This window comes from Homo sapiens, chromosome 22 (assembly GCF_000001405.40).
Source record: "Homo sapiens chromosome 22, GRCh38.p14 Primary Assembly".
NCBI lineage: Eukaryota > Metazoa > Chordata > Mammalia > Primates > Hominidae > Homo > Homo sapiens.
The window spans coordinates 46450217-46472329 of record NC_000022.11 but is presented as its reverse complement, the minus strand read 5'-3'; the positions used below and the strand labels follow the sequence as shown (position 1 = coordinate 46472329).

Here is a 22113-nt window from a genome sequence, read left to right as displayed (position 1 = left end):
AACACAATTGCAGATAACCTTTATCTTACTGCAGAGTCTTTCACGAAAGTCGGGGACTGGACAGGTCCCAACCTCCATGAAGACCCAGAAAGTTCCTTCCCATGATGTGGTTCACGTTTGTACAGCACCTGCCAGGAGGGCCCCGCAGCCTCGCGCTCTGCCGTCTGCTCTGTCTCCTTCCCATGTCTCAGCCACAATGAGGTGACTCACCCTTCCCGGGAAAGCAGGGGATGGCACTTGATCGCTTTTGAGGTGCCGCGGAGCCGCTCCAGGCCTGGGAGGAATGCCTGGAGCACGGGCAGAGAGAGTGCTGGGTGGGTGCCGTGCCTCCCGGAATCAAGCAGACCCCAAACTGTGAACTGACCTGTACTCACACACAGAAATGAAACCACGGGGGACAGCGTGAGGCAGAAAGTCGTCATCACCTGAAGGCCACAGACCGCAGCCCCTGAAAACTGTACAGGTCCCAGACCCAGGGAAGGCTGGAAGCCACCACGGTGCAGGGGAGCTGAGTGTGGTGTGGGGTCCTGGGACAGGAGAGGACAGTGGGTGGAAATGAGGGAAATCTGCAGAGAGAACAGGCTTCAGTTAATAACCTATCAATACTGGCTCCTTCATTATGACAAATGCTGAGGCCAGGGGCAGCGGCTCACACCCGTGAATCCCAGCACTTTGGGAGGCTGAGGTGGGAGGATCGCTTGAGGCCAGGAGTGTGAGACCAGCCTGGGCAACATCGCACGGCCTCACCTCTACAAAAAACAAGAACAGAAAACCCAGCCAGGCATGGTGGCATGCTCCTGTAGTCCTAGCTTCTCAGGAGGCTGAGGCAGGAGGATCACTTGAGCCCAGGAGCTCAAAGCTCAAGGCTGCAGTAATCACACCACTGCATTCCAGCCTGGGCCACAGAATGAGACTCTGTCTCAAAACAAGCAAAAGACCCCCAAACCTACCATGCTAATGTAATAACGTAACTAATAGGGGCCTGGGTGTGGGGTCTCTGGGAACCCGCTGTATTAGTAATTTTTTTGTAAATCTAAAACTGTTTCAAAATTAAGTTTTATAAAAACAAACAAAAAACAAAATCAGCAATGCAGACAGAACCACTGTCCACAGTGCCGATAGCTCTCTGGGCTCATGTAGAAACATTTTTTTTGTTTTGTTTTGTGTGAAAGAGTAACTCCTTCCTTTTTTGTTGTTGTTTTTTTGAGGTGGAGTCTCACTCTGTCGCCCAGGCTGGAGTGCAGTGGTGCCATCTTGGCTCACTGCAACCTCCGACTCCCAGGTTCAAGCGATTCTCCTGCCTCAGTCTCCCAAGTAGCTAGGATTACAGATGTGCACCACAACGCCCTGCTAATCTTTGTATTTTTAGTAGAGACAGGGTTTTGCCACGTTCGCCAGGCTAGTCTCGAACTCCTGACCTCTGGTGATCCGCCCACCTCGGCCTCCCAAAGTGCTGGGATTACAGGTGTGAGCCACTGCTCCTGGCCTGTTTCTTGTAACCTAACATCATGTTGTCTTGATCTATCTCTGCCAGAAATGGAGGTTTGTGCTACTGTGTGGTTTAGCTGCGTCATATTCCGTTGTGGGGATAGGCTGTGCTTGGCTCAGCATTCCCATACTGGTGGCGTTTAGATGTGTGTATCTGAAGGCTTAAGCTGCAGGTTGGTTCAAAATCCAACCCAGACTACTTAAGTAAAAAGTAATTTCACCGTGGCCCGTGGTCTCGAAGGAGATTGATGTTAGGATTAACAGTAAGGCACTCATCGTGTTCTGTAGCACACTTCACAGTCGTTAATATTTAATGCTATTTTCTGTCTGTTATGTCATCGTTTTATCCCTGAGTGAAGATGGATGTCCCTAGAATATGGGTCCTTGTTCCGGGGTGTTTCTCTGTGCTGTGCCTTCCTGGGCTGCCCCCAGGAAGGCCCCAGTGCTGGAGCCTCCTCCCAACTTGTGGGGGTCAGAGTAGCTCAGGGCACCCCAAGAAGGCCTGGGCTTCTCACTATGATACATAAGCTCAGACCCAAACATTAATCAATTTTTCAAGTACCTGCTTATTTTCCTGGTTAAAATCAGTGTGGCCTTTGCGTATTGGGCCAGAACAAACACATCCATGTGTGGTTTAAGATAAAAGCATGTTTCATAACAACTGCCACGAGGAAGTAAACAGTACCCTATCTGTATTATTGTAGTGGACCCTAAAAAAAAAAAAGTCAAACAGGCACAAAAAAATAGCTCACATGAAAAAATGAAGTCTCATTATGCTGTTTGTGTCAATGTTGATGTTGGAGTTAAAGTGACACCATACTTCTCTGGCCCCTTTGCCTCTCCCTCCCTCCCTCCCCTCCTCCTCCCTCCCTCCCTTTCTTCCACAAATGTTTATCCAGTGGCTTCTGAGTGCCAGGAGCTGTTCTAGATGTGACGGATGCAGCAGGAACAAGACCTACAGGTTCTGGGTCCTCAGGGACTCATGGGGAAAGAAACAAATATAAACAAATAAGAAAATCAGAGCCCTAGGCCGGGTGCGGTGGTTCACGCTTGTAATCTCAGTACTTTGGGAGGCCAAGGTGGGTGGATCACTTGAGGTCAGGAGTTCGAGACCAGCCTGGCCTACGTGGTGAAACCTCGTCTACTAAAAATACAAAAATTAGCCAGGCGTGGTGGTGTACGTCTGTAATCCCAGCTACTTGGGAGACTGAGGCAGGAGAATCACTTGAATTTGGGAGGTGGAGGTTGCGGTGAGCTGAGATTGCATCATTGCATTCCAGCCTGGGCAACAGAGCGAGACTCCATCTCAAAACAAACAAACAAACAAACAACAACAAAACAAACACAGAGAGCCCTGCCACTCTTGTACAAGAACTGAAGTTGGGATGTGGCAGATGGGAGTGAGGGGCTCAGCATGGAAGGTCCTCCATCGAGGGACCCAGGGGTGTAGCCAGTGTCTGAGAAGGAGGGCAGTGCTCCAGCCAGGAGATGCGCAAAGGCCCCGGGGCAGGAAGAGCGGTCACACGATGACAGGGACAGATCACGCAGACCACAGGACAGAGGGGTGTGTATTTTATGCTGGGTGCCATTAGGGACCACAGGGGAGCAAGGTGATGAGGTCAATATTTTAGGAAGACCTCTCTGGCTGCCACATGAGGATGATGGTGGAGGGAAACTGAGGCTGGCAGACCCCAGGGGTGTTCAGCACATGGCCAAGCAATGCCTGTGGGTCATAGGCTATTTTTAAGATTTTTCATTTTTAAGGGGAGACAGAGCCTCTCTCTGTCCCCCAGGCTGGAGTGCAGTGGCGCAATCTTGGCTCACTGCAACCTCTGCCTCCCAGGTTCAAGCGATTCTCAAGCCTCAGCCTTCCGAGTAGCTGAGACTACAGGCACGTGCCACCACGCCCAACTAGCTTTTTGTATTTTTAGTAGAGACAGGGTTTCACCATGTTGGCCATGCTGGTCTCGAACTCCTGACCTCAGGTGATCTGCCGCCTCGGCCTCCCAAAGTGCTGGGATTTCAGACGTGAGCCACTGAGACTGGCCTATTAAAAAAATTTGTAATTGTGGTAAAATACACATACGTTTACCACTTTAACCATTTTTAAGTGTGTGGTTCTGTGGCATTAAGCACATTAGCTTTGCTGTGCAGCCATCACCACCATCTATCTCCAGAACTTTTTCATGGCCCCAAACTGAAACCCCACACCCACTAAACAACAGCTCCCCAATCTGCCTCCCCACCCGTGGCACCCATCATTCTACTTTCTGCCTCTATGAATCGAACTCCTCTAGGGACCTCCTGTAAGTGCAGCCTCACATGTGACCGGCTTATTGCAGTGAGCATCACGTCCTCAAGGTACATCCATGTTGTAGCGTGTGTCAGAATTTCCTCCCTTTTTAAGGCTGGATAATATTCCATAGTATGCATGGACCACATTTTTTTTTTTTTTTGAGACAGAGTCTTGCTTTGTTGCCCAGGCTGGAGTGCAGTGGTATGATCTTGGCTCACCACAACCTCCACCTCTTGGGTTCAAGCGATTCTCCTGCCTCAGCCTCCCGAGTAGCTAAGATTACAGGCATGCACCACCACGCCCAGCTAATTTTTGTATTTTTAGTAGAGACATGGTTTCACCAGGTCGCCCAGGCTGGTCTTGAACTCCTGACGTCGTGATCCACCCACCTCGGCCTCCCAAAGTGCTGTGATTACAGGTGTAAGCCACCACACCTGGCCAGACCACATTGTTTTAATCCGTTAATCTGTCGGTGGACGCAGGTCACTTCCATGTTTCAGCTCTTGTGAATAGCGCTGCTATGAACATAGGTGTGGTTGACTCATCTTTTTCTTTTGTTACAAAAAGTAGCAACCCAAACGGTACATGCTAATCGTAAGACAGCTGAGTAACACAAAATGAGCAGTAAAGTAGAAAGGTGGTTCACTCCCTGCCACCCCATCCTTTTACATCCTTTGTAGGAGTCGCTGCAGCATCCTTCCAGAGTTTTCTTTTTCTTTTTTTTGAGATGGAGTCTCACTCTGTCGCCCAGGCTGGAGTGCAGTGGCGTGATCTCGGCTCACTGCAAGCTCTGCCTCCCAGGTTCATGCCATTCTCCTGCCTCAGCCTCCTGAGTAGCTGGGACTACAGGCGCCTGCCACCATGCCTGGCTAATTTTTTGTATTGTTAGTAGAGACGGGGTTTCACCATGTTAGCCAGGATGATCTCGATCTCCTGAACTTGTGATCTGCCCGCCTCAGCCTCCCAAAGTGCTGGGATTACAGGAGTGAGCCACCACGCCCGGCTCCTTCCAGAGTTTTCTATATATATATATATATAACATGTTCGTGCATAAGTAAAGCAGCCCCCTCACAAAATGGGATCACACTGTGCGTGTCCCTTTCATTTTATTTGCGCATATTTTGGACACACTTATGTTCATGACAGCGTAGTAGTCCATTGTGTGGCTTCTCTAATTGGGTTGTGCATTTCCCAGCTGATGGACCTTTAGGTGGTTTCTTTGTCTTTGGTGTGTGTGTTTGGGCTTCCAGAAGGATGATTGCTCAAGCTTAGGGTCGCTGAATGTTTACAATTTATTTTTGGCAAAGGAATGTATAAACGGGATGTAGCAAATTAAAGTTATTTATGAGCATTGCGTAAGACAAAACTATGTTAACTTACGTTCACATTTTTAACACATTGTTTAGCATGTTAATTTATTTTAATTGAATTAATATATGTCAGTCTGCTAGGGCTGCCATTTAAAAATACCACAGAATGGGTGGCTTAAACAACAAACACTTGTTTTCTTACAGTTCTTGAGGCTGCAAGTCCAAGATCAGGGAGGCAGCACGGCCAGGTTCCTGGAGGCTTTGTTTTCCTGGCTGGTAGACAGTGCCTTCTTGCTGCGTCCTGATGCGGAGGAGAGGAGAGCTCTCTGCTGTCTCTTCCTGTGAGGATGCAAATCCCCTGGTGGGGCCCCACCCTCGTCACCTCATCATTGACCCACATTACCTCCCAGAGGCCTCATCTCCAAAACCCATCCCCTTGGGTTAGAATTTTGAGGAGACACAGTTCGGTTCCCAGCAACACATTAATATCTTATATGCCGGGCAGTGAGGTTTAATGTTTTAAGTTGATGAACGGTTGGTCTATGAGTCGACTGTATTGGTTTTGGTTGTCTGGTGCTGTGTAACAAAGCGTCCCAAACCCAGTGGCCTCCAACTCTGGTCGTATTATCTACTCACAGTGTGGCCAGGCTCAGTGTGGGGCTGGTCTCTGCTCTGTGGTGTCCGGGTCCTCCCTGGGGTGGCTTGAGTCTCAGCAGCCCGGTGGGTCACATCTGGGGTCTGGGGCTTCCATTGGCCGGGGCCCTGGACGGGAGTGCTGCCTTCTTCCCGATGTGCCCTCTCTAGTGTGGGTTCTGGGCACCAGGAAGAAAGAGGCAGAACCTTCCAGCCCTCTTGGGGCCTGGGCCAGGAACTGGAGGACGTGTTTCCTGCTACATCCTGTGGGACCCAGCCGTCTCAGGGCCACCCTGCTCCAGGGCAGGGCAGGGCAGTGGAGGCCCCCTTCGGAGTGGGAGCAGCTGGGGTCGGGGAGGGAAGGAACGCACTCTCTGAGGCCGTCTCCCACCATGTCCTTTGCCTCAGGCCTTTTGGCCTCATTTGTTTTCCCCACCTCTTCTTCTCCTTAGAGCCACTGGTCCTCTGCCTCTGGGCTCTGCGGACGCCCTCTGGGCTGCTCCTTCCTGCTCCGAGGTGCTCTGTGGGAGTTGCCCACAGAACTGAGTAGCCTCGAAGGGCTCTGGGTTTATGCCAGAGCCAGAGGCGCCCTCCCCACACCGAGGTTGTACAAATATTAATTTCATGTTCTGAGTCCTGACTTGCCACGCTGTCCTGAAGGCCACCTGGCAGAGCAACAGCACCCAGGGCATGACCCGAGTGTCGTTACTGGGGTGGGAGCTGGGCATCCCCAGCCGGGCCTGCGTTTCTGGGTGTGAAATTTGGCTTCTGCCTCCGTTTTCCTCACCTGTGAACTGGGGGTGGTGCTGGTTCTGTTAGAATCTCTTGGGATCTTGGGTCCACTGCACCTGCACGCATCTGTGGCTTCTGCAGTGGTTGCATTTCTTTGTTGTTTAGACAAATTACCTGACTCCAGGTCCCTCCCAGATGTGACTGGTGGCTCCTGGTGCTGGGAAAGCGCCGGGTGCGGAGCCACCTGCTGCTCTTGTTCCGTTTCCTCTTGGGATCCCCGCGTGCCGCTGTGCCTTGTCGGGTGTGTTGCCGGGCTCGGGGTGACAAGGTGGCCTCTGGGCCTCATCACCCTCCAAAGGCCCAGACACTTCCTCACAGTCCCCAGAATGAGAGGGAGGAGGGCCTGGCCCTCTCTGGCTCCCTGCCCAGCTCCTGTCCTCCTGACTGGGGCAGTTACTGAGGCCCAGGACTCTGAGGGGTGACAGGGGCCCCACGCTCCATGGAAACCAGGGTGGGAGCTCTTGTGGGGGCCATGGGCAGGGGGCCTCATGGGGTGGGATGGGGTGGGGGCTCCTGGAACACAGAATCCGAGCCAGGCCTGGAGGACCTGGACTTGGCAGGCTATTCTGCAAATCCCACCCCACATCTGAGCCCGGGCCTGGAGGTGGCAGGTGAGGGCCCCTGGGCAGGGGCCGCTGCTCCGTCCCTGGGAGCCACTGGTACCCATGACCCACCCCCTGAACGTCTCATCCAATTCTGGGCCTGGAACCGATGATGCATGCGACTTTGCAACCAAGGTGCTCCACCGTCTTGGCCTCAGACTCCTAAGTACCTCACTTGATGATGTGTTTACTGCTGGCTGAGAGGCTGCTGTGTGTCTTTGTAAAGCGGTGCTCCTCGGCCCCTCCTGTGTGCTGGGCATGTGGAGTTGCGTGGGGTACAGCCGAGCTAAGTGGGACCCTCAGCACAGCACGTCGGTGGGGATGTCGCCTGGGCAGGACCAGGGCGGGCTTGCCAGGCACTGCAGAGTTTGAGCTGAGCTGCGAGGACAGGAAGAACTGTTGGGAGGTTGGGCAGGGTGGGATCCCTGGAGGCCAGGGCAGGTGCAGAGGAGGTAGAAGGGGGCTTCAAGTCCTCATGTGGCTGGAACCAAAGCGTGTGAGGAGTTTCAGGCAGTGAGGGGCTGAATCCTGGTGGTCGTCAGGGTGCCCTGCTGAGCACCTTGGGGCCCTCTGAGGGATTCGGAGCCAGAGAAAGATGTGATCGGAGCTGTGCTTTAGGAAGCCAGGGCAGGGGTTAGGGTGCCGGAGGAGGGAGGGTCAAGGTGGTGGTCATGGGGGGCAGGGGCCAGGGTGCTGAAGGAGGAAGGGTCAAGGTGGTGGTCATGGGTGGGGAATGGGGAGTGGGGATGCCCAGGCTCTCTTCTCCTTTGCCAAGCATGCCTGAGGCTGCTCCTGGGATGGGGCCTATAGGACCTGTGACTCCCGCAGCATCTGAATGACCCTGACTTTCCTTGTGTCTGCAGATGGCATCCACAGCGTCACGGCCTTCTGCACCCTGCGTGTCACCATCATCACGGACGACATGCTGACCAACAGCATCACTGTCCGCCTGGAGAACATGTCCCAGGAGAAGTTCCTGTCCCCGCTGCTGGCCCTCTTCGTGGAGGGGGTGGCCGCCGTGCTGTCCACCACCAAGGACGACGTCTTCGTCTTCAACGTCCAGAACGACACCGACGTCAGCTCCAACATCCTGAACGTGACCTTCTCGGCGCTGCTGCCTGGCGGCGTCCGCGGCCAGTTCTTCCCGTCGGAGGACCTGCAGGAGCAGATCTACCTGAATCGGACGCTGCTGACCACCATCTCCACGCAGCGCGTGCTGCCCTTCGACGACAACATCTGCCTGCGCGAGCCCTGCGAGAACTACATGAAGTGCGTGTCCGTTCTGCGATTCGACAGCTCCGCGCCCTTCCTCAGCTCCACCACCGTGCTCTTCCGGCCCATCCACCCCATCAACGGCCTGCGCTGCCGCTGCCCGCCCGGCTTCACCGGCGACTACTGCGAGACGGAGATCGACCTCTGCTACTCCGACCCGTGCGGCGCCAACGGCCGCTGCCGCAGCCGCGAGGGCGGCTACACCTGCGAGTGCTTCGAGGACTTCACTGGTAGGTGCCCGGGCTCACCCTGGCTTTGTGTACATGTCCCCAGGTCACATGGCCGAGGGTCTCAGGTGGTTTCCTCTGTTTACTTCCCTCCGGGGAAAACAGCTGGAGGATGGGCGCTGGGCCCAGGTGTGGGCTCCACGAACCTTGAGATGATCTCAGTAACGGTACTTTTTTTTTTTTTTTTAACTTTTTTGAGATGATCTCACTCTATTGTCCAGGCTTGAGTGCAGTGGCGTAATCTTCGCTCACTACAACCTCCGCCTCCTCGGTTCAAGCGATTCCTCTGCCTCAGCCTCCCGAGTAGCTGGGGTTGCAGGCACAGGCCACCACGCCCAGCTAATTTTTGTATTTTTAGTAGAGATGGGGTTTCGCCATGTTGGTCAGGCTGGTCTTGATCTCCTGACTTCAAGTGATCCACCCGCCTCAGCCTCCCAGAGAGCAGGGATTACAGGCGTGAGCCACCGTGTCCGGCCAGCAATGGCACTTTCTTAGCCAGCTCGGGGCTTCCCTGACCGTAGCCCACGGCTTACTCACTTTCCCTGCCCGACTTAACTGCCTGCTTTAGGAGAACAGTAGGACAAGGTTACAGGGTGAGATCCACTTAAAAGAAAACCTAAACGCATGAAATGACATGAGTTGCTTTTAAGTGGCCCTCAGGTGAAAGTACTTTATTCCAGATTGCAGGCTTAATTGGTTAGCGTAAAACAGTGGAACCAGGTGGAAACCATTGAGCCATTAATCATTTGGGTCTTGAAATCCTGTTTTTTCATGCCTCCCTGTCACCGTAGAAATTTCGTGACTCATCCTCCCGCCTCTGAAGATGCTCTTTCCTTGATACCTCCTGACTCATCACCAAGATGAATTACTCCAAATGTAGCCAACGGTGGTTTTTAAAAATAAAGAGCCACCCCGAGAGCGGTACAGAAACACACATTCTCTGCATCTCAGCGCACATCTTGCTTTGGTCTTTGATTGGCTGTTCCACAAAATGACGGCTCATTTGATAAGCGAGTTTACAATGGTCCCAGTGGTGAATAGTCTGTCTTTTTTTTTTTTTTTTTGAAAGCTCTCTGGGATTAGGCAGGATTTGGTTCATACCGGAGATAACTTTGAGACTCTTCCATCGACTGTGTCCTCGATTAATCTGTTTAATATAAACACCTGAGCAATCGTTAGCTGCTCGTTACCAGCACATAGCACAAGTTTATCGAGCTTATAACAAGGGTTTGAGGTATTAGCAGGTATTTATCAGGCAGGAAGAGCGCAGGGGAGCAGAGAGAGAGAGGAAGGATGGCTTCCAAGGTTCTCTGCATCAGAAGTGGAGGGAAAACCACCAGCACGGGTGTTGGCAGCCTGATGCAAGGGTGCTCCCGGCTCTGACTTCCTGCGCTCCAGGTTGGTGGCCCTCTGGTCATATGGCAGGTGGAAGGAAGGCAGTGTGGTCACCTGCCCCGTGGTGTTCCCACGCCTGCTAGTCTGTGGCTGTCTGTTGGTGCCGTCTGGGTCTGGGGCTCTTCCCCCCGCTGTCTCTCACTGAATGCTAATCCTAAATTCCTGGCTATACCGGGGCTCGGCTGTGGGCAAGGCAGGCAGGCAGGCAGAGGCGGCGGGAGACCCCCGCCTCCCACAGCCCACACCTGCGTTGGGTTTGGGGGTGGGGACGACTCCAGGTATGAGCAGGCCTGAACCAGGCCCCCTCCTCTGCTCTTTCAGTGGATTCCTGTTCTGTGTCAGCTTCCCCAGGTCCCCTTCCTCCCCTTTGCCCCTCACGGCCTTGAGTGGGCTGCTCTGCCTCTCTGAAGGGCCAGCTTGGATGTAGCAGTGGCCAGCACGGTCAGCGCCCCTTCCCCGAGCCAGTGCCTGCCATGTGGCCTGGGTGGGGGGCGCTTCGTCGACTTCCCTGCTTCAGATGAAGAAGCCGTGGCCGCGGGTCCCTGGAAAGGGGCCTGTTACGCTCCCAAGAGTTGGCAAGGACGCCATCTTTACTCCGCAGATAGTACCTACTGTATACCAGGCCAGCGCACACAGCCAGACCTCCCCCAGCCTGTTCTGGGGGGTGACCAAGTTCATCTGTGCCGTTGGCTTTTTCATGGGTAGAGGGGACTGTGCAAGCACCCACCACCTCTGGCTTTGTCAGATGAGTCAGGAGCCCTAGGGTAACGTCTAACGTGGCTTTGAGACCTGCATCGGCCTTCCAGGCCGCCAGTCCAGGCTGCAGGAAGCTTGGGGCTGCACTGGGCAGGGGTGGTCGAGGCCCCTGGGGACCCCTGGGCCAGCAGATCCCCTCTGAAGATGATTGACCCATTGGGGGGAACCCACCTTCTGAGCTTCTCAGGTTTTCTTTTCATCGGGAGAGTCATTTTTAGAAAACTAATGACTGGGGAACGGCCAAGTCTGTCATCACCAGTAAGACCCACTAACATGTAATGATTGGCATGAGACTAATTTGAATCTCTTTGGGTACCAAAATTATCATATGTATTTCCCTCGGAGATAAGGCTAATTAAGACTGATTATTTCTACTCCGTCCCTCTTCCTCCCCTTTTCCCTCTTTCCCTTTGAAGCGCTCCTTTTTCTGCGTGGAGGTAATTGAGCTCATTTATTCACGATGAAAGTGGTGCTGTCGGCAGAGGGGTTTTATTACTTGCTCCCTGGTAAGCCGAGCTCGGGGGCCTCACGGTTGCAAGGTTGGAATCGGCCCAAGTGGCTGCTGAAAGCCCCTGGCTTCTTGTGTTGCGGGACAGGAGACAGCAGGAGCTGGATGAAGGAAGTAGCAATTAATTTCAGGAAAAGCTCAACAAATTTGATGCTGGAGAAAATACTGATGGCTCTCCCGTGTCCCTGAAATCCATTTTGGCCTTAGAGAAGTCCAAGGCCCCAGGGTCTGTGGATTCCCCTGATCTTTGCAGGGAAAGGAGGGCTGCCACCCGCTCACGGCGTTGGGACTGTGGTTGGGGTCTGCAGCCATCCCATTCTCCGAAAGGGACGAGGGCAGGAAGCCTTAAGGCTCCGGCATCTTAGATGTGCCTGGGATGGCCTCCCAGTTTCTCCGCTCTGCAGAGAGTCCTAAACAACCCTGAGAGGCAAACACGGGCTGGTGTTCCTCGGTTCTCAGCCCCTCGGTCTTTTTGTAAACATCGTAGTTGTGTTTGTTGTTAAATTGCTCAGGCTCTGACTTGGCTCCTGTGGGTCCAGACACAGGGCCCTGTTCCGTCTCCCCTCTGCACCTGCCATCCCTTCATCTGAAATGTGTCTCCTCCCCATCCATCTGCCCATCATGGGCCTCCCTCAAAATCTGCTTCCGCAGCTGTACACCTGCTCTGAGAAGGTTCTGGAAGTTTCCCGACCTCCTCAGATGGATCATAGGTTTCCTCCCTTGAAGCTTCCTGGGTGCCTTGCTGATGCTTTTGTTGGTCCACCCCCATGCTGGGTGTGGTTCACACACTTCCATGTCTCTGTCCCCCAGGATGGCAGGGACTGTAGCTAATGGGTGTGTGTGTGTGTGTGTGTGTGTGTGTGTGTGTGTGTTTTGAGACTGAGTCTCACTGTGTCACCCAGGCTGGAGTTCAGTGGTGTGATCTCAGCTCACCGCAACCTCTGCCTCCTGGGTAGCTGGGACTACAGGCATGCATCACCACGCCCGGCTAATTTTTTGTATTTTTAGTAGAGACTGGGTTTCGCTATATTGGCCAGGCTGGTCTCAAACTCCTGACCTCAGGTGATTCGCCTGCCTTGGCCTCCCAAAGTGTTGGGTTTACAGGCGTGAGCCACTACGCCTGGCCGGATTGTAGCTAATGTTTAGTGGTGCTCTGCTCTGCTGGTTACTGCTCTAGATGATTCTACACGTATTTTCTCATTGACTTCTCGAGGCAGCTCTATGATCCCATTTTATAATGGGGTCATAGAAACTGAGGTACAAGACATCAAAGCATCTAGCCCAGTGGTTCTCCACTAGGGGTGATTTTGCCCCCAGGGACATTTGACAAAATCAGACATTTTTGGTTGTCACAGCTGGGGGTGGGGGTGCTGGTGGGTTGAGGCCAGGAATGCTGCTTGACATCTGTAGTGCACAGGGCCGCCCCACGGCAGAGAAGCGGCCTCAGCGCTGAGGGCAAGGACCCTGCTGGCACTGTGGAGGGTGGGGTCAGGATTCAAACCCAGGCATTCTGGCTTCTGAGCTGCAGCTGTAGACCCTCGAGGGTCAACGGCCGGCCAGGTTTACCAGCTTAGATCCTTCCTCTTGCATCATTTGTTTAACAGCATTTTGTGAAAGGCGCCTTCTGTGCTGGTTGAAAGGGGCAGTGTGATGGGTGGTATGCAGTGGCCCCGGAGGGGCTTTGCAGCTGTTAACCTCACACCTGAGGGGCTGGGAGGCCGCTGTTCCTTCCCCACAAGAAACCTGACCTCATTAAATCAGGACTGGCCTTAGGACTCGGTTTTGAATCCTGGTGCTGCTCTTGGTGTCTGCTCTCCCTAATTAAACAATTACGACCACTCACTCATTACTAAAATGGGAACCGGCTGGGCACGGTGGCTCACATCTGTAATCCCAGCACTTTGGGAGGCCGAGGCACGTGGATCACGAGGTCAGGAGATTGAGACCATCCTGGCCAACACGGTGAAACCTTGTCTCTACTAAAAATACAAAAAACCAGGTGTGGTGGCACACGCCTGTAGTCCCAGCTACTTGGGAGGCTGAAGCAGGAGAATCGCTTGAACCCAGGAGGCGGAAGTTGCAGTGACCCGAGATCATGCCAGTGCACTCCAGCCTGGGCGACAGAGTGAGACTGTCTCAAAAACAAAAACACAAACAAAAAAAAACCTAAACTGGGAACAGTACTCTCTACTGGTGACCAAGAACGGAAGTCCTGGGCTCTGCTCTCACTCGGCCTTTCCCATGTATCTGTGACAACCCAGGAGGTGGGACAGTTGTCATCCCAGTTCTGTCAACACCCAGGTGCAGCACCAGGCGGGCGGGGCCAGGATTCGACTTGGGGATCTCTTGTGAGAGGTGAGTCTCACAGCTGCTCCTGGGAGGGTCAGATGCCCCGGGCCTCCAGCCTCTTCCCTCTGGTCCCCTGGAGGGTGTCCCCAGTACCAACTCCAGATACTCCCTGCTCTGATCCTGCTTCCTCTCCCCATCCCTTATTTCAGCCCACGGGCTCACAGTGGATGCCCCTTGGCCCCACGTTCAGCCTCTTGCCATGACCTAATGACGCTGCCTCCCCAGCCCAGTTCTTCTCTCTGCTGCCTGTCCCTGTTTTCATGTTATCACCTTGGTGGGGCCTTCTCCTGCCCTCCCTGCCACCCTCGTCCTGCCCTGACGATCCCTTCTTCACGGAGCGCCCAGGATGCCTGGTGAAGCAGGCATTTGTCACATCAGTGTTCAGGCCTTCCTGGGGTGACCGGTGCTCCAGTATAAAGTGCAGTCACTGGGCCTGTGGCACTCAGAGGTCTAGCCTCACCCCCGGCTCCCCAGGCTGAGGTCACTCTGGCCTTCGGGACACACACTGGCCTCTCTCACCGTGGTGCTTGCCCCTCCAGCGCACCTTCCCCCAGGTCTTCCCTGAATGTTCCCTCCCTGTCCCCACTCCTCTGTCCTCCCTGCAGCCCTCACCCCCATGGTGGTGTTTGCTTGTCATTGTCACCTTCCTCCCTCTGCACTAGATGCAGACAGCAGCGTCCTCCGCCCAACAGAACATGCCCGCGGGTCTGCAGCAGGCACCGTGTGCAAATGAGACAAGGGCTGGCCATCCCGCCCCTCCACGTAGGCCAGAGATAATGCCCTCGGGGCCTGAAACTCATTCTGTGTTGTGGTCAGAGTGCTGCCTGTGCTGCCTCTGGTGCTGAGCTAGGAGGAACCGGACCCTCCAATCACGTACACTTCCCTTCCCTGTCTCCTCTGCCCCTTCCTAGGGGACGCCGAGGTATGTCTGACTCTGTCCTGCCCCTGTGAGCACTGGCTAAGCTCCCATGTGGGTCCGCCCTCGTGCTCATCACAGCTGTGAGCGGGAGTGTGGGCTCCAGGCCTCTGGGCATTCCCGGGAAGCCTTCCTCATCTCTGTCCGCGCTGTGAGCGGGTGATTTGTCATCACGGTAGCGTCTTCGTCTTCCCATGGGGCGCATTCCTGAGTGGCAGCTCTGATATCACAGGAAAGGCGGGTTTTTCTGCAAGGCTGAACATCTTGGAGGGGGACGGCAACAAGTCACTTTCACTCACCTCATGTCTGGGTAGAGGCAGACCTGGGTGCCCCTCCTGTGTGCGCCAGTGGGCCGGGGCTGCTTTGTTAGGGTTGAGTTTATTCTTGATCACCTGCTTTTAGGACCCCAGGGGCTGCGAGAATAATCTTTTTCCCCGCCCCCGAGATGAGTCTTGCTCTGTTGCCCGGGCTGGAGTGCAGTGGCACAACCTTGGCTCACTGCAGCCTCTGCCTCCTGAGTTCAAGTAATTCTCCGGCCTCAGCCTCCCGAGTAGCTGGGATTACAGGCATGCACCACCACTCTTGGTTAATTTTTGTGTTTTTAGTAGAGACAGGGTTTTACCATGTTGGCCAAGCTGTTCTCGAACTCCTGACCTTCTGATCCTCCCGCCTCGGCCTCCCAAAGTGCTGTGGGCCCTGTACGTCCACGCCACGTGGACTTCGGGAGTGTCGGGTGCTCCCTAGCTGGGGCCTTAGCTTGGTTTGGGAATCAGGAACCGAGTAGGTGAGTAGCCACTTGGGAGCGCTTCAGTGCTGCTGGCTTTGAGCTTTGTACCAACTCCCTAGGCTGGGACAATAGCAATTGTCCTGTATGAGCCCCCCACCCCCCGCCCCAGGTCATGGTCCCCAACTGTCCCTGCGAGGGCCTCCTGGGGCCAAGGACAATCTGTGTAGGTTCAAGGACAGAGAAACTTCTGGTGTAAAAACATAATCACCTGTGTGCTCATGGGAAAATCTTAAAAATAAATTCTAGCCCTTCTGCGATTCTGTTGTAAAATGTGTACGTCACTCCAGCTGTGAGTTTTATTTTGGGTTCTCTTTTTTTTTTTTTTTTTTTTTTTTTTAGACAGAGTCTCGCTCTGTCGCCCAGGCTGAAGTGCAGCGGCACAATCTCGGCTCACTGCAAGCTCTGCCTCCCAGGTTCACGCCATTCTCCTGCCTCAGCCTCCCGAGTAGCTGGGACTACAGGTGCCCACCACCACGCCTGGCTAACTTTTTGTATTTTTTTTTAGTAGAGACGGGGTGTCACCTTGTTAACCATGACGGTCTCGATCTCCTGACCTCGTGATCTGCCCGCCTTGGCCTCCCAAAGTGCTGGGATTACAGGCGTGAGCCACCGTGCCCGGCCTATTTTGGGTTCTCTTATCAGAGTCATGGGCTTTCCATCTTCATGTGATCTGCTGACGCACTCATCCCTCCCAGCCTGCAAGTTCTGCACTTTCAGATAAGGTCCTCATTCATGGCGAGCTGTGCCATCACCCTGCGGAGTGACGTCTGCTTAGCGCAGGGTTGCACGTGGGCCAGTGCTCGCTGTGGCTTCCAGGATTAAAGCTTCACTTCCAAGTATTCCTAGTAAAGTCGCAGTTAGTCCTTAAACTTGAGCGTTAATTATCATTCAAAATAAAACTCATTACATAACCTGTAATTAAAATCTCAAATAAAGCAGTAACAGAATCCTTTCTTGGGAAAACGTGCTTTTCAGATAATTCAGGATTACTTCAAGTTTTTCTCTCCTTGGTGCTTCTCAAGTCTTTTGCATTTGGCTTTTTGTACAGAGTCCAGGTTTTGAGATTTGCCATGTCCCTGGTACGTAGCTGTAAAGCTGGGGCATTATTTCATTTCTGGATAACTGTTTTCTATAAAAATCTTGCCGGGGGATCAGGGTGTGGGTCAATGTAGCCAGATATCTCCTGTTCTCCACTCAATTTCTTTCCCCAAAGCTGGGGCTTTTGATAAACAGAATTAGCGTCCTGTGCGGCGTGTGCAGGCACAGCCCACCAGCACTGGAGCCCAGCACGGTCCTCACACCCTGCAGTCCTCCTCCGGCTTCCGTGAGCTTCCTGGGGCTGCTGTAACCGATCGGCACAAACTGAGTGGCTGAAGACGACAGAAATCTGTTGTCTCAAGCCAAGTGCAGTGGTTCACGCCTGAAATCCCAGCACTTTGGGTGGGCGAGGCAAACGGATCACTTGAGGTCAGGAATTCAAAACTAGAACCTCTGTAATCCTATCACTTTGGGAGGCCGAGGCAGGTGGATCACCTGAGGTCAGGAGTTCAAGACTAGCCTGACCAACATGGTGAAACACCGTCTGTACTAAAAACACAAAAATTAGCCAGGCGCGGTGGCAGGCACCTGTAATCCCAGCTACTTGGGAGACTGAGGCAGGAGAATCGCTTGAACCTGGGAGGCGGAGGTTACAGTGAGCCGAGATGGCGCCACTGCACTCCAGCCTGGGCGACAGAGCGAGACTCTGTCTAAAAAAGAAAAAGAGAAAAAAGTCTCTTGTCTTACTGTTCTGGAGGCCAGAAATTCAAAGCCAAGGTCCCTGCAGGGCTGTGCTCTTTCTGAAGGCTTTAGGAGAGGGCCTCTCCTGGCCTCGTCCAGTTTCTGGTAGCCCCAGGTGGTATCTGACTCACGGATGCATCACTGCAGTCTCCGCCTCCGTCTTCACACTGTGTTCTTCCGTGCACGTCTGTCTCTGTCCAGGTTTCCATCTCATTGTAAGGACACCGGTCACTGGATTAGGACCCACCCTAATGATCTCATCCTAAGTCGATTACCTCTACAAAGACCCTATTTCCAAACAAGGTCACTTTCAAGGGTACTGGGAGTTCGTAACTGAGCGTATCTTTCTGGGGACACAATTCAGCCGTGGGTGCTCCTTCGCTGAGGAGCTAAGGAGTTTGGGAACCAGGGCTGTTGGCGCTTCTCACTGGCCTGCCTGTCGCGTGTCTGCGAGGACCACGGGCCACTCCAGGGTGGGAGGCAGGTTTCTGCGATGTGTTTACCTTTGCGAACGCTAAGCGCAGGAGCAGAGGGTTTCCCGCGTCCCACCCGGACAGCTTGGAGGTGGGCGAGCTGAACTAGGTGTGGAATGTGAGTCAGTGAGGAACAAACATCTGCCCAGAAATGTCTGGCCCACAGTTAGAAAAGTGGCCTGAAGACGAGCCGCATGCAATAGAAACCTCGCTGTGGTTTAAAGCACACGCCGTTCCCCGTGACTTCGAAGTCTGTGCTGTTGAGGGGAGACAAGGCTGCCTGGCCGGGCTGGCTGCGGGTCATGGGCGTCTGTGCGTGCACTGGAGGGATGCTGCTTCTGCAGAGAGAGTGTGGGCTCCGTGACAGCAGGGCTGGGCACGCTCGCTCACCCCTGCACGAGTCTCCTGTGGCCGCTGTAACATTTCCACACACGAGGGGCTTAACGCAGCACGGATTCATTCTTACTGTTCTGGAGGGCAGGAGCCCTGCATTCAGGGGCGTGGGCGGGGCTGCTCCGGGAGGCCCTGGGGAGGGCCTCCTGCTCTGCCTTCCTCAGCTGCTGGAGGCCACCTGGTCCTTAGTCCCTGGCACCTTCCTCACCTCACTCCGACCCCTGCTTCCACCACTAGCACCTTCTGCCCCTCACCCTCCCACCGCTTACAAGGAGCCTTGTGATGACTTTGGGGCCACACAGTAATGCAGGATGACTGCCCCGTCTCAAGATCCTTAATCACATCTGCAAAGTCCCTTAGGCCTTGAGGTCACACATCCTTGGCTTTCAGAGATGAAGATGTGGACGCCTTTTGGGGTCCATTATTTTGCTAACAACCCCGGCTGCTCCTGGTGTCTCCTCTCCCTAATTAAACAATCTCGACCACTCACACCCGGTAAATATTTGTTGAAGGCATGCGTAGTGAGCAGGTCCCACCATCGGCGCTGTGGTGGGGGTCTGGCAGTCTCTGCTGTTTATAACCGGCCACGATCTGGACCCAGGGCTGCTGGGAGCTGCTGGAGAGTCCGAATTGAGCCTCTGCCCTGAGAGTAGTGACCCAGACGACCTCGGGGGCGAGTGTTCTCTGCTCTCTCACCCGCTTCCGGTCAGCACTTTCAAGCCTTTTCTCTGGTGTGGACAGACAAAGCCGCCTCTGTCCTGCTCCTGGGGGCCAGGGGCCAGGTTAATCACGCACCTCTGGCCTGCCAGGGCTGGGTGTGGTGGGGTTACACTTATCAGATGAAGCTGGCTGGACATAGCGGGGGTAGACTTTGTATTAATGAGGGCAGTTCGTGACCCCCAACTCCAAGTGATGAATTAAGAATTCGTGCTCATTTTTTCTGGACGTTGATCTGTCACTAGTGCACTGTCTGTCCTGGCCCGCACTGGTGTGGCCAGGGGAATTTGAACCGTTGGGGTGCTGAGCAGCCTTTTCTCGTGATGAGTGAGGTTTTCGCTAGCATTCCAGCTGAGCCCGGGCATGCTGCTGTTCGTAGTTGGCACGGTTTCCCTGCATGCTGATAACGAACGCACCGGGCACGTCCCTTCCAGCCCTGCTGTGCACAGCTGCCTGGCTCACCTTCCTCGGTCGTCTTTCCATGTCTAGCAGGAGCATGGCCAGACCCTGGCCCCACATCCAGGCCCCCCAACCTGCCTCCCTCCGAGGCATGGCAGGGCCAGCCCTCTCCCTACCATCAGGAGCCAAGTGCTCAGTGGGGCGCCAGGCTGCACAGTGCCCTCTCCCCTGGGTGGAAGACCTAGACCCATCCCACCTGAATGTCCCCACTCAACTCTATCCTCCCTGGACAAGGCTGTTTCCAGGCTGTGCCCAACCCCATGGCCCCTGGAGAAAAGCAACTACTGAGGCCTGGAGGGCACAGGGGAGCCCCGCCTGCCCGACAGTGGCACTGTCTTCTTGGCATGTGCTGGGCCAAGGGCGGCGTGAAGTCTGCGTCCCCCTCACTCCAGGACCAGGAAGTGTTGGCTGGGCCCTGTCCCCTCTAGGTAGGACCCACCACCAGGCTCATCCTCATCTTGGGTCCTGGAGGCCTCCTGAGCTGCCACCAACGTCCTTCTAAAGAGAGCCAAGTCCCTGGCCCACGCCTTGGCTTGGAAGGACCCTGGGTTTGTTTTGAGGGGGTTGGAAACGCCCTGCAGGGGGAGTCGAGATGGGGTTCTGTACCCAGGTTGGTGCTGGGGCTGTAGGGACCCTCATGTCCTGGTGATCAGCAGGGCTGACCGCCCCCTAAGTGCCAGCTGTGTGTACCCCCAGTGCCAGGGACCAGGTGTTGTGGTATCCAGAGTCCTGTGGTTGCCCCTCCCCTACCAGTCTTGGCAACCAGGACTTCCCGAGTCCACTCGGGCCCAGGAGACGCTGTGTTTGTTTGGCACACTGGGTCCTCATGCCGCTGTCTTCCCGGTGCCATAAGAGCCCTGGCAAACAAGGAGTGTTTTATCTCCCGTGGCTCCAGGTCTGTGTAGGCTCCAGGAGATGCTGGGAGGCTTTGGGGTGCAGCTTCCTCAGGAGATTGACCCTGGAAGAGGGTTCCTGCTGACTGGCTGGTTTCCTCGGTGTGTTCTGGGCCTCGTTCTCCTAGGACTGCTGTGATAAGTGATCACAAACCGGGGCGCTGAAAATAACAGACATGCCTTCCCTCAGTTCTGCAGCTGGAAGGCCGAAATCAAGGTGTTGGCAGGGCCGGCTGCGCTTCCTGGAGGCTCTAGGAGGAGCCCCCCTGCCTCCCCGGCGCCTGGTGGCTGCAGGCCTTGGCTTGCGGCTGCCTGGCTCCAGGCTCTGCCTCCCTGTGCACCAGCCCTTCCCCTTGCTTCTCATCTCCCTCTGCGCTCATTTTACGATAATTCATGTTGTGATTGCATCGAGCCCACCTGCTAATCGGATTGCCTCATCTCAAGATCCTTAACTTAATTGCACTTTTGCCATATAAGTAAAATTCCTTCTTTTGCTATATAAGGTAACATTCCCAGATTTTAGGAATTACTATGTGGACACTTCCTTTTGGGGGCCACCGTGTAGCCCATTACAGGGTGGGTTATTTCCTAGTCTCTCCTCCATCGTCGGTGTTGTGGAGAAGGAGGTTGTAGGGAGCCCCTCTTCTGAAAGGCTGTGTCCCCGAGGGTGATTCCAGGCTGGGGTCACCTGGGCCCGCATGCTACTGGAGCCTTTGGCTTGGAGCTGCTGCAAGCACCAGAAGACGGTCAAACATGCACCCATCCTTCAGGTTCGGCAGGGTTTCCAGCCCTCAGCGTGTAGGTGACTCCCGTAAGAAACAGCAAAGCAGTGGATCAGTGGGAATCATTTTTCTTTGCTGCTGGAATGCATTTCTTATTTTTTTAAATGGGTGTGTCTGGAGATCATCTGGGAATTTGTTTCAGAGACACTAATGCAGTCACGCAGAGAAGGCCAGCCCTGGACAAGCGGCTTCTGCAGTGCCGGGCTCCCCTGGCCTCCCCCTTCCCAGCTCCCTCCTTGTGGGGCGGGGGTCTGGGCCTCCTGCTGAGGGCTTTCCTGGCTACCTTGCCAGGTGGGGCAGGGCTGGGCCGCCTGTAGGTGTGACTCAGGAGGGATTCCAGGTGCAGAGCAAGTCACCAGGAGGTGAGAAAGTCAAACAATGCGTGAAACCCAAGGGCAGACGTGGGTGCTGACAGACAGCAGTTCCCGGTGGGAGCTGGGGAGGAGGAGAGGGAGTGGGGCATGGAGGGGTGAACAGAGGGTGCCTCCTGTCTCAGGAAGGCAGTGAGGAACAGGAGGAACAGGGACCAGTAATAGTAACCTCGCCCTTGCGCAGGTGCGTAGCTCACAGCCGTACCAAATGAGCTGTTTCACTCACATCAGCCTGTTAGTGCTGGGGAATGCTCCTGGCCCAAGAGAGACAGAAATCCCTGCCTTGGGGGATGGATTTATTACAGCTGGGGAAACTGAGGCACTAGCCAGGATCTTGCTCAGGAAACCTCTGTCCTGACAGCAGTGCTGTGGGGGTTTGGAATGGGGTGCTGAGGCCCCTGCAATCTCGCCTCCTGGTCGGCCTCTCCTATAGGGACATTCGGAGGGGACACCTGTCCAGGGAAGGCAGTGAGGTGCACTCATTCACTGGACCCGTCCCTGCAAGCTCTGTGTGGACATTAAGGCAGATGCAGGCTTAACTCCCGCTCCCACCCATGCAGCTGTGTGACCCAGCACAAGTAACTGCCCTCTCTGAACCTTCGTGTACTCATCTGACCAGCCAGGTGCTGCGGCCTGCCTTGTAGGGAAGGTCATGTGTGGACTGTGCTCACCTCTGGAGGAGGTTGCTGTGAAAGTGCTCATGTTCTCATCCCCAAATGTGAACCTGGGGATACCCAGGGTCAGGGAGCGTCACCTGAGCTGTTGGGACGCCATGTGGCCCTGCCCTGTCTGTCCCTCCATCTCTATGTCAGCCTGCCTTGCAGGGCCGAGTTGGTAGCACGTCCTCCCCCACAGCTCTGTTGCTGGACAAAGGCCCTGGTGGCTGGGGGCCTCTGCTGGCCTGGCTTCTGCCTG

The 22113-nt window shown here is 54.7% G+C and overlaps 1 protein-coding gene across 6 annotated transcripts in view, besides 7 other annotated features; it reads left to right on the top strand.

Annotated features, from left to right (window-relative positions):
* Positions 1 to 22113, top strand: part of CELSR1 (cadherin EGF LAG seven-pass G-type receptor 1) — a 176447-nt gene that overhangs the window by 65291 nt on the left and 89043 nt on the right. For 5 of the 6 annotated variants that reach the window (NM_014246.4, NM_001378328.1, XM_047441624.1 and 2 more), the window contains exon 2: positions 7985 to 8623. In NM_014246.4, the coding sequence (NP_055061.1) occupies positions 7985 to 8623 (639 nt within the window). Of the gene's footprint in view, positions 1 to 5344; positions 5436 to 7984; positions 8624 to 22113 lie in introns of those variants that run through there. The other variant, XM_011530554.3, reaches the window with a different exon arrangement.
* Positions 235 to 1054: an enhancer, noted in NCBI's record as "H3K4me1 hESC enhancer chr22:46867173-46867992 (GRCh37/hg19 assembly coordinates)". NCBI's record gives its function as "activates a minimal SCP1, AML or CMV promoter by ChIP-STARR-seq in primed H9 embryonic stem cells {active_cell/tissue: H9 hESC(primed)}" and the evidence as "EXISTENCE:reporter gene assay evidence [ECO:0000049][PMID:30033119]".
* Positions 8461 to 8967: an enhancer, noted in NCBI's record as "H3K27ac-H3K4me1 hESC enhancer chr22:46859260-46859766 (GRCh37/hg19 assembly coordinates)". NCBI's record gives its function as "activates a minimal SCP1, AML or CMV promoter by ChIP-STARR-seq in naive H9 embryonic stem cells {active_cell/tissue: H9 hESC(naive)}" and the evidence as "EXISTENCE:reporter gene assay evidence [ECO:0000049][PMID:30033119]".
* Positions 8461 to 9692: a biological region, named in NCBI's record as "CDK7 strongly-dependent group 2 enhancer GRCh37_chr22:46858535-46859734".
* Positions 8493 to 9692: an enhancer, noted in NCBI's record as "CDK7 strongly-dependent group 2 enhancer chr22:46858535-46859734 (GRCh37/hg19 assembly coordinates)". NCBI's record gives its function as "activates an origin of replication core promoter dependent on BRD2, BRD4, P300/CBP, MED14 and CDK7 cofactors, with strong dependence on CDK7, by STARR-seq in HCT116 cells {active_cell/tissue: HCT116}" and the evidence as "EXISTENCE:reporter gene assay evidence [ECO:0000049][PMID:35650434]".
* Positions 16298 to 16798: an enhancer, noted in NCBI's record as "H3K27ac-H3K4me1 hESC enhancer chr22:46851429-46851929 (GRCh37/hg19 assembly coordinates)". NCBI's record gives its function as "activates a minimal SCP1, AML or CMV promoter by ChIP-STARR-seq in naive H9 embryonic stem cells {active_cell/tissue: H9 hESC(naive)}" and the evidence as "EXISTENCE:reporter gene assay evidence [ECO:0000049][PMID:30033119]".
* Positions 17896 to 18479: an enhancer, noted in NCBI's record as "H3K27ac-H3K4me1 hESC enhancer chr22:46849748-46850331 (GRCh37/hg19 assembly coordinates)". NCBI's record gives its function as "activates a minimal SCP1, AML or CMV promoter by ChIP-STARR-seq in primed H9 embryonic stem cells {active_cell/tissue: H9 hESC(primed)}" and the evidence as "EXISTENCE:reporter gene assay evidence [ECO:0000049][PMID:30033119]".
* Positions 18480 to 19062: an enhancer, noted in NCBI's record as "H3K4me1 hESC enhancer chr22:46849165-46849747 (GRCh37/hg19 assembly coordinates)". NCBI's record gives its function as "activates a minimal SCP1, AML or CMV promoter by ChIP-STARR-seq in primed H9 embryonic stem cells {active_cell/tissue: H9 hESC(primed)}" and the evidence as "EXISTENCE:reporter gene assay evidence [ECO:0000049][PMID:30033119]".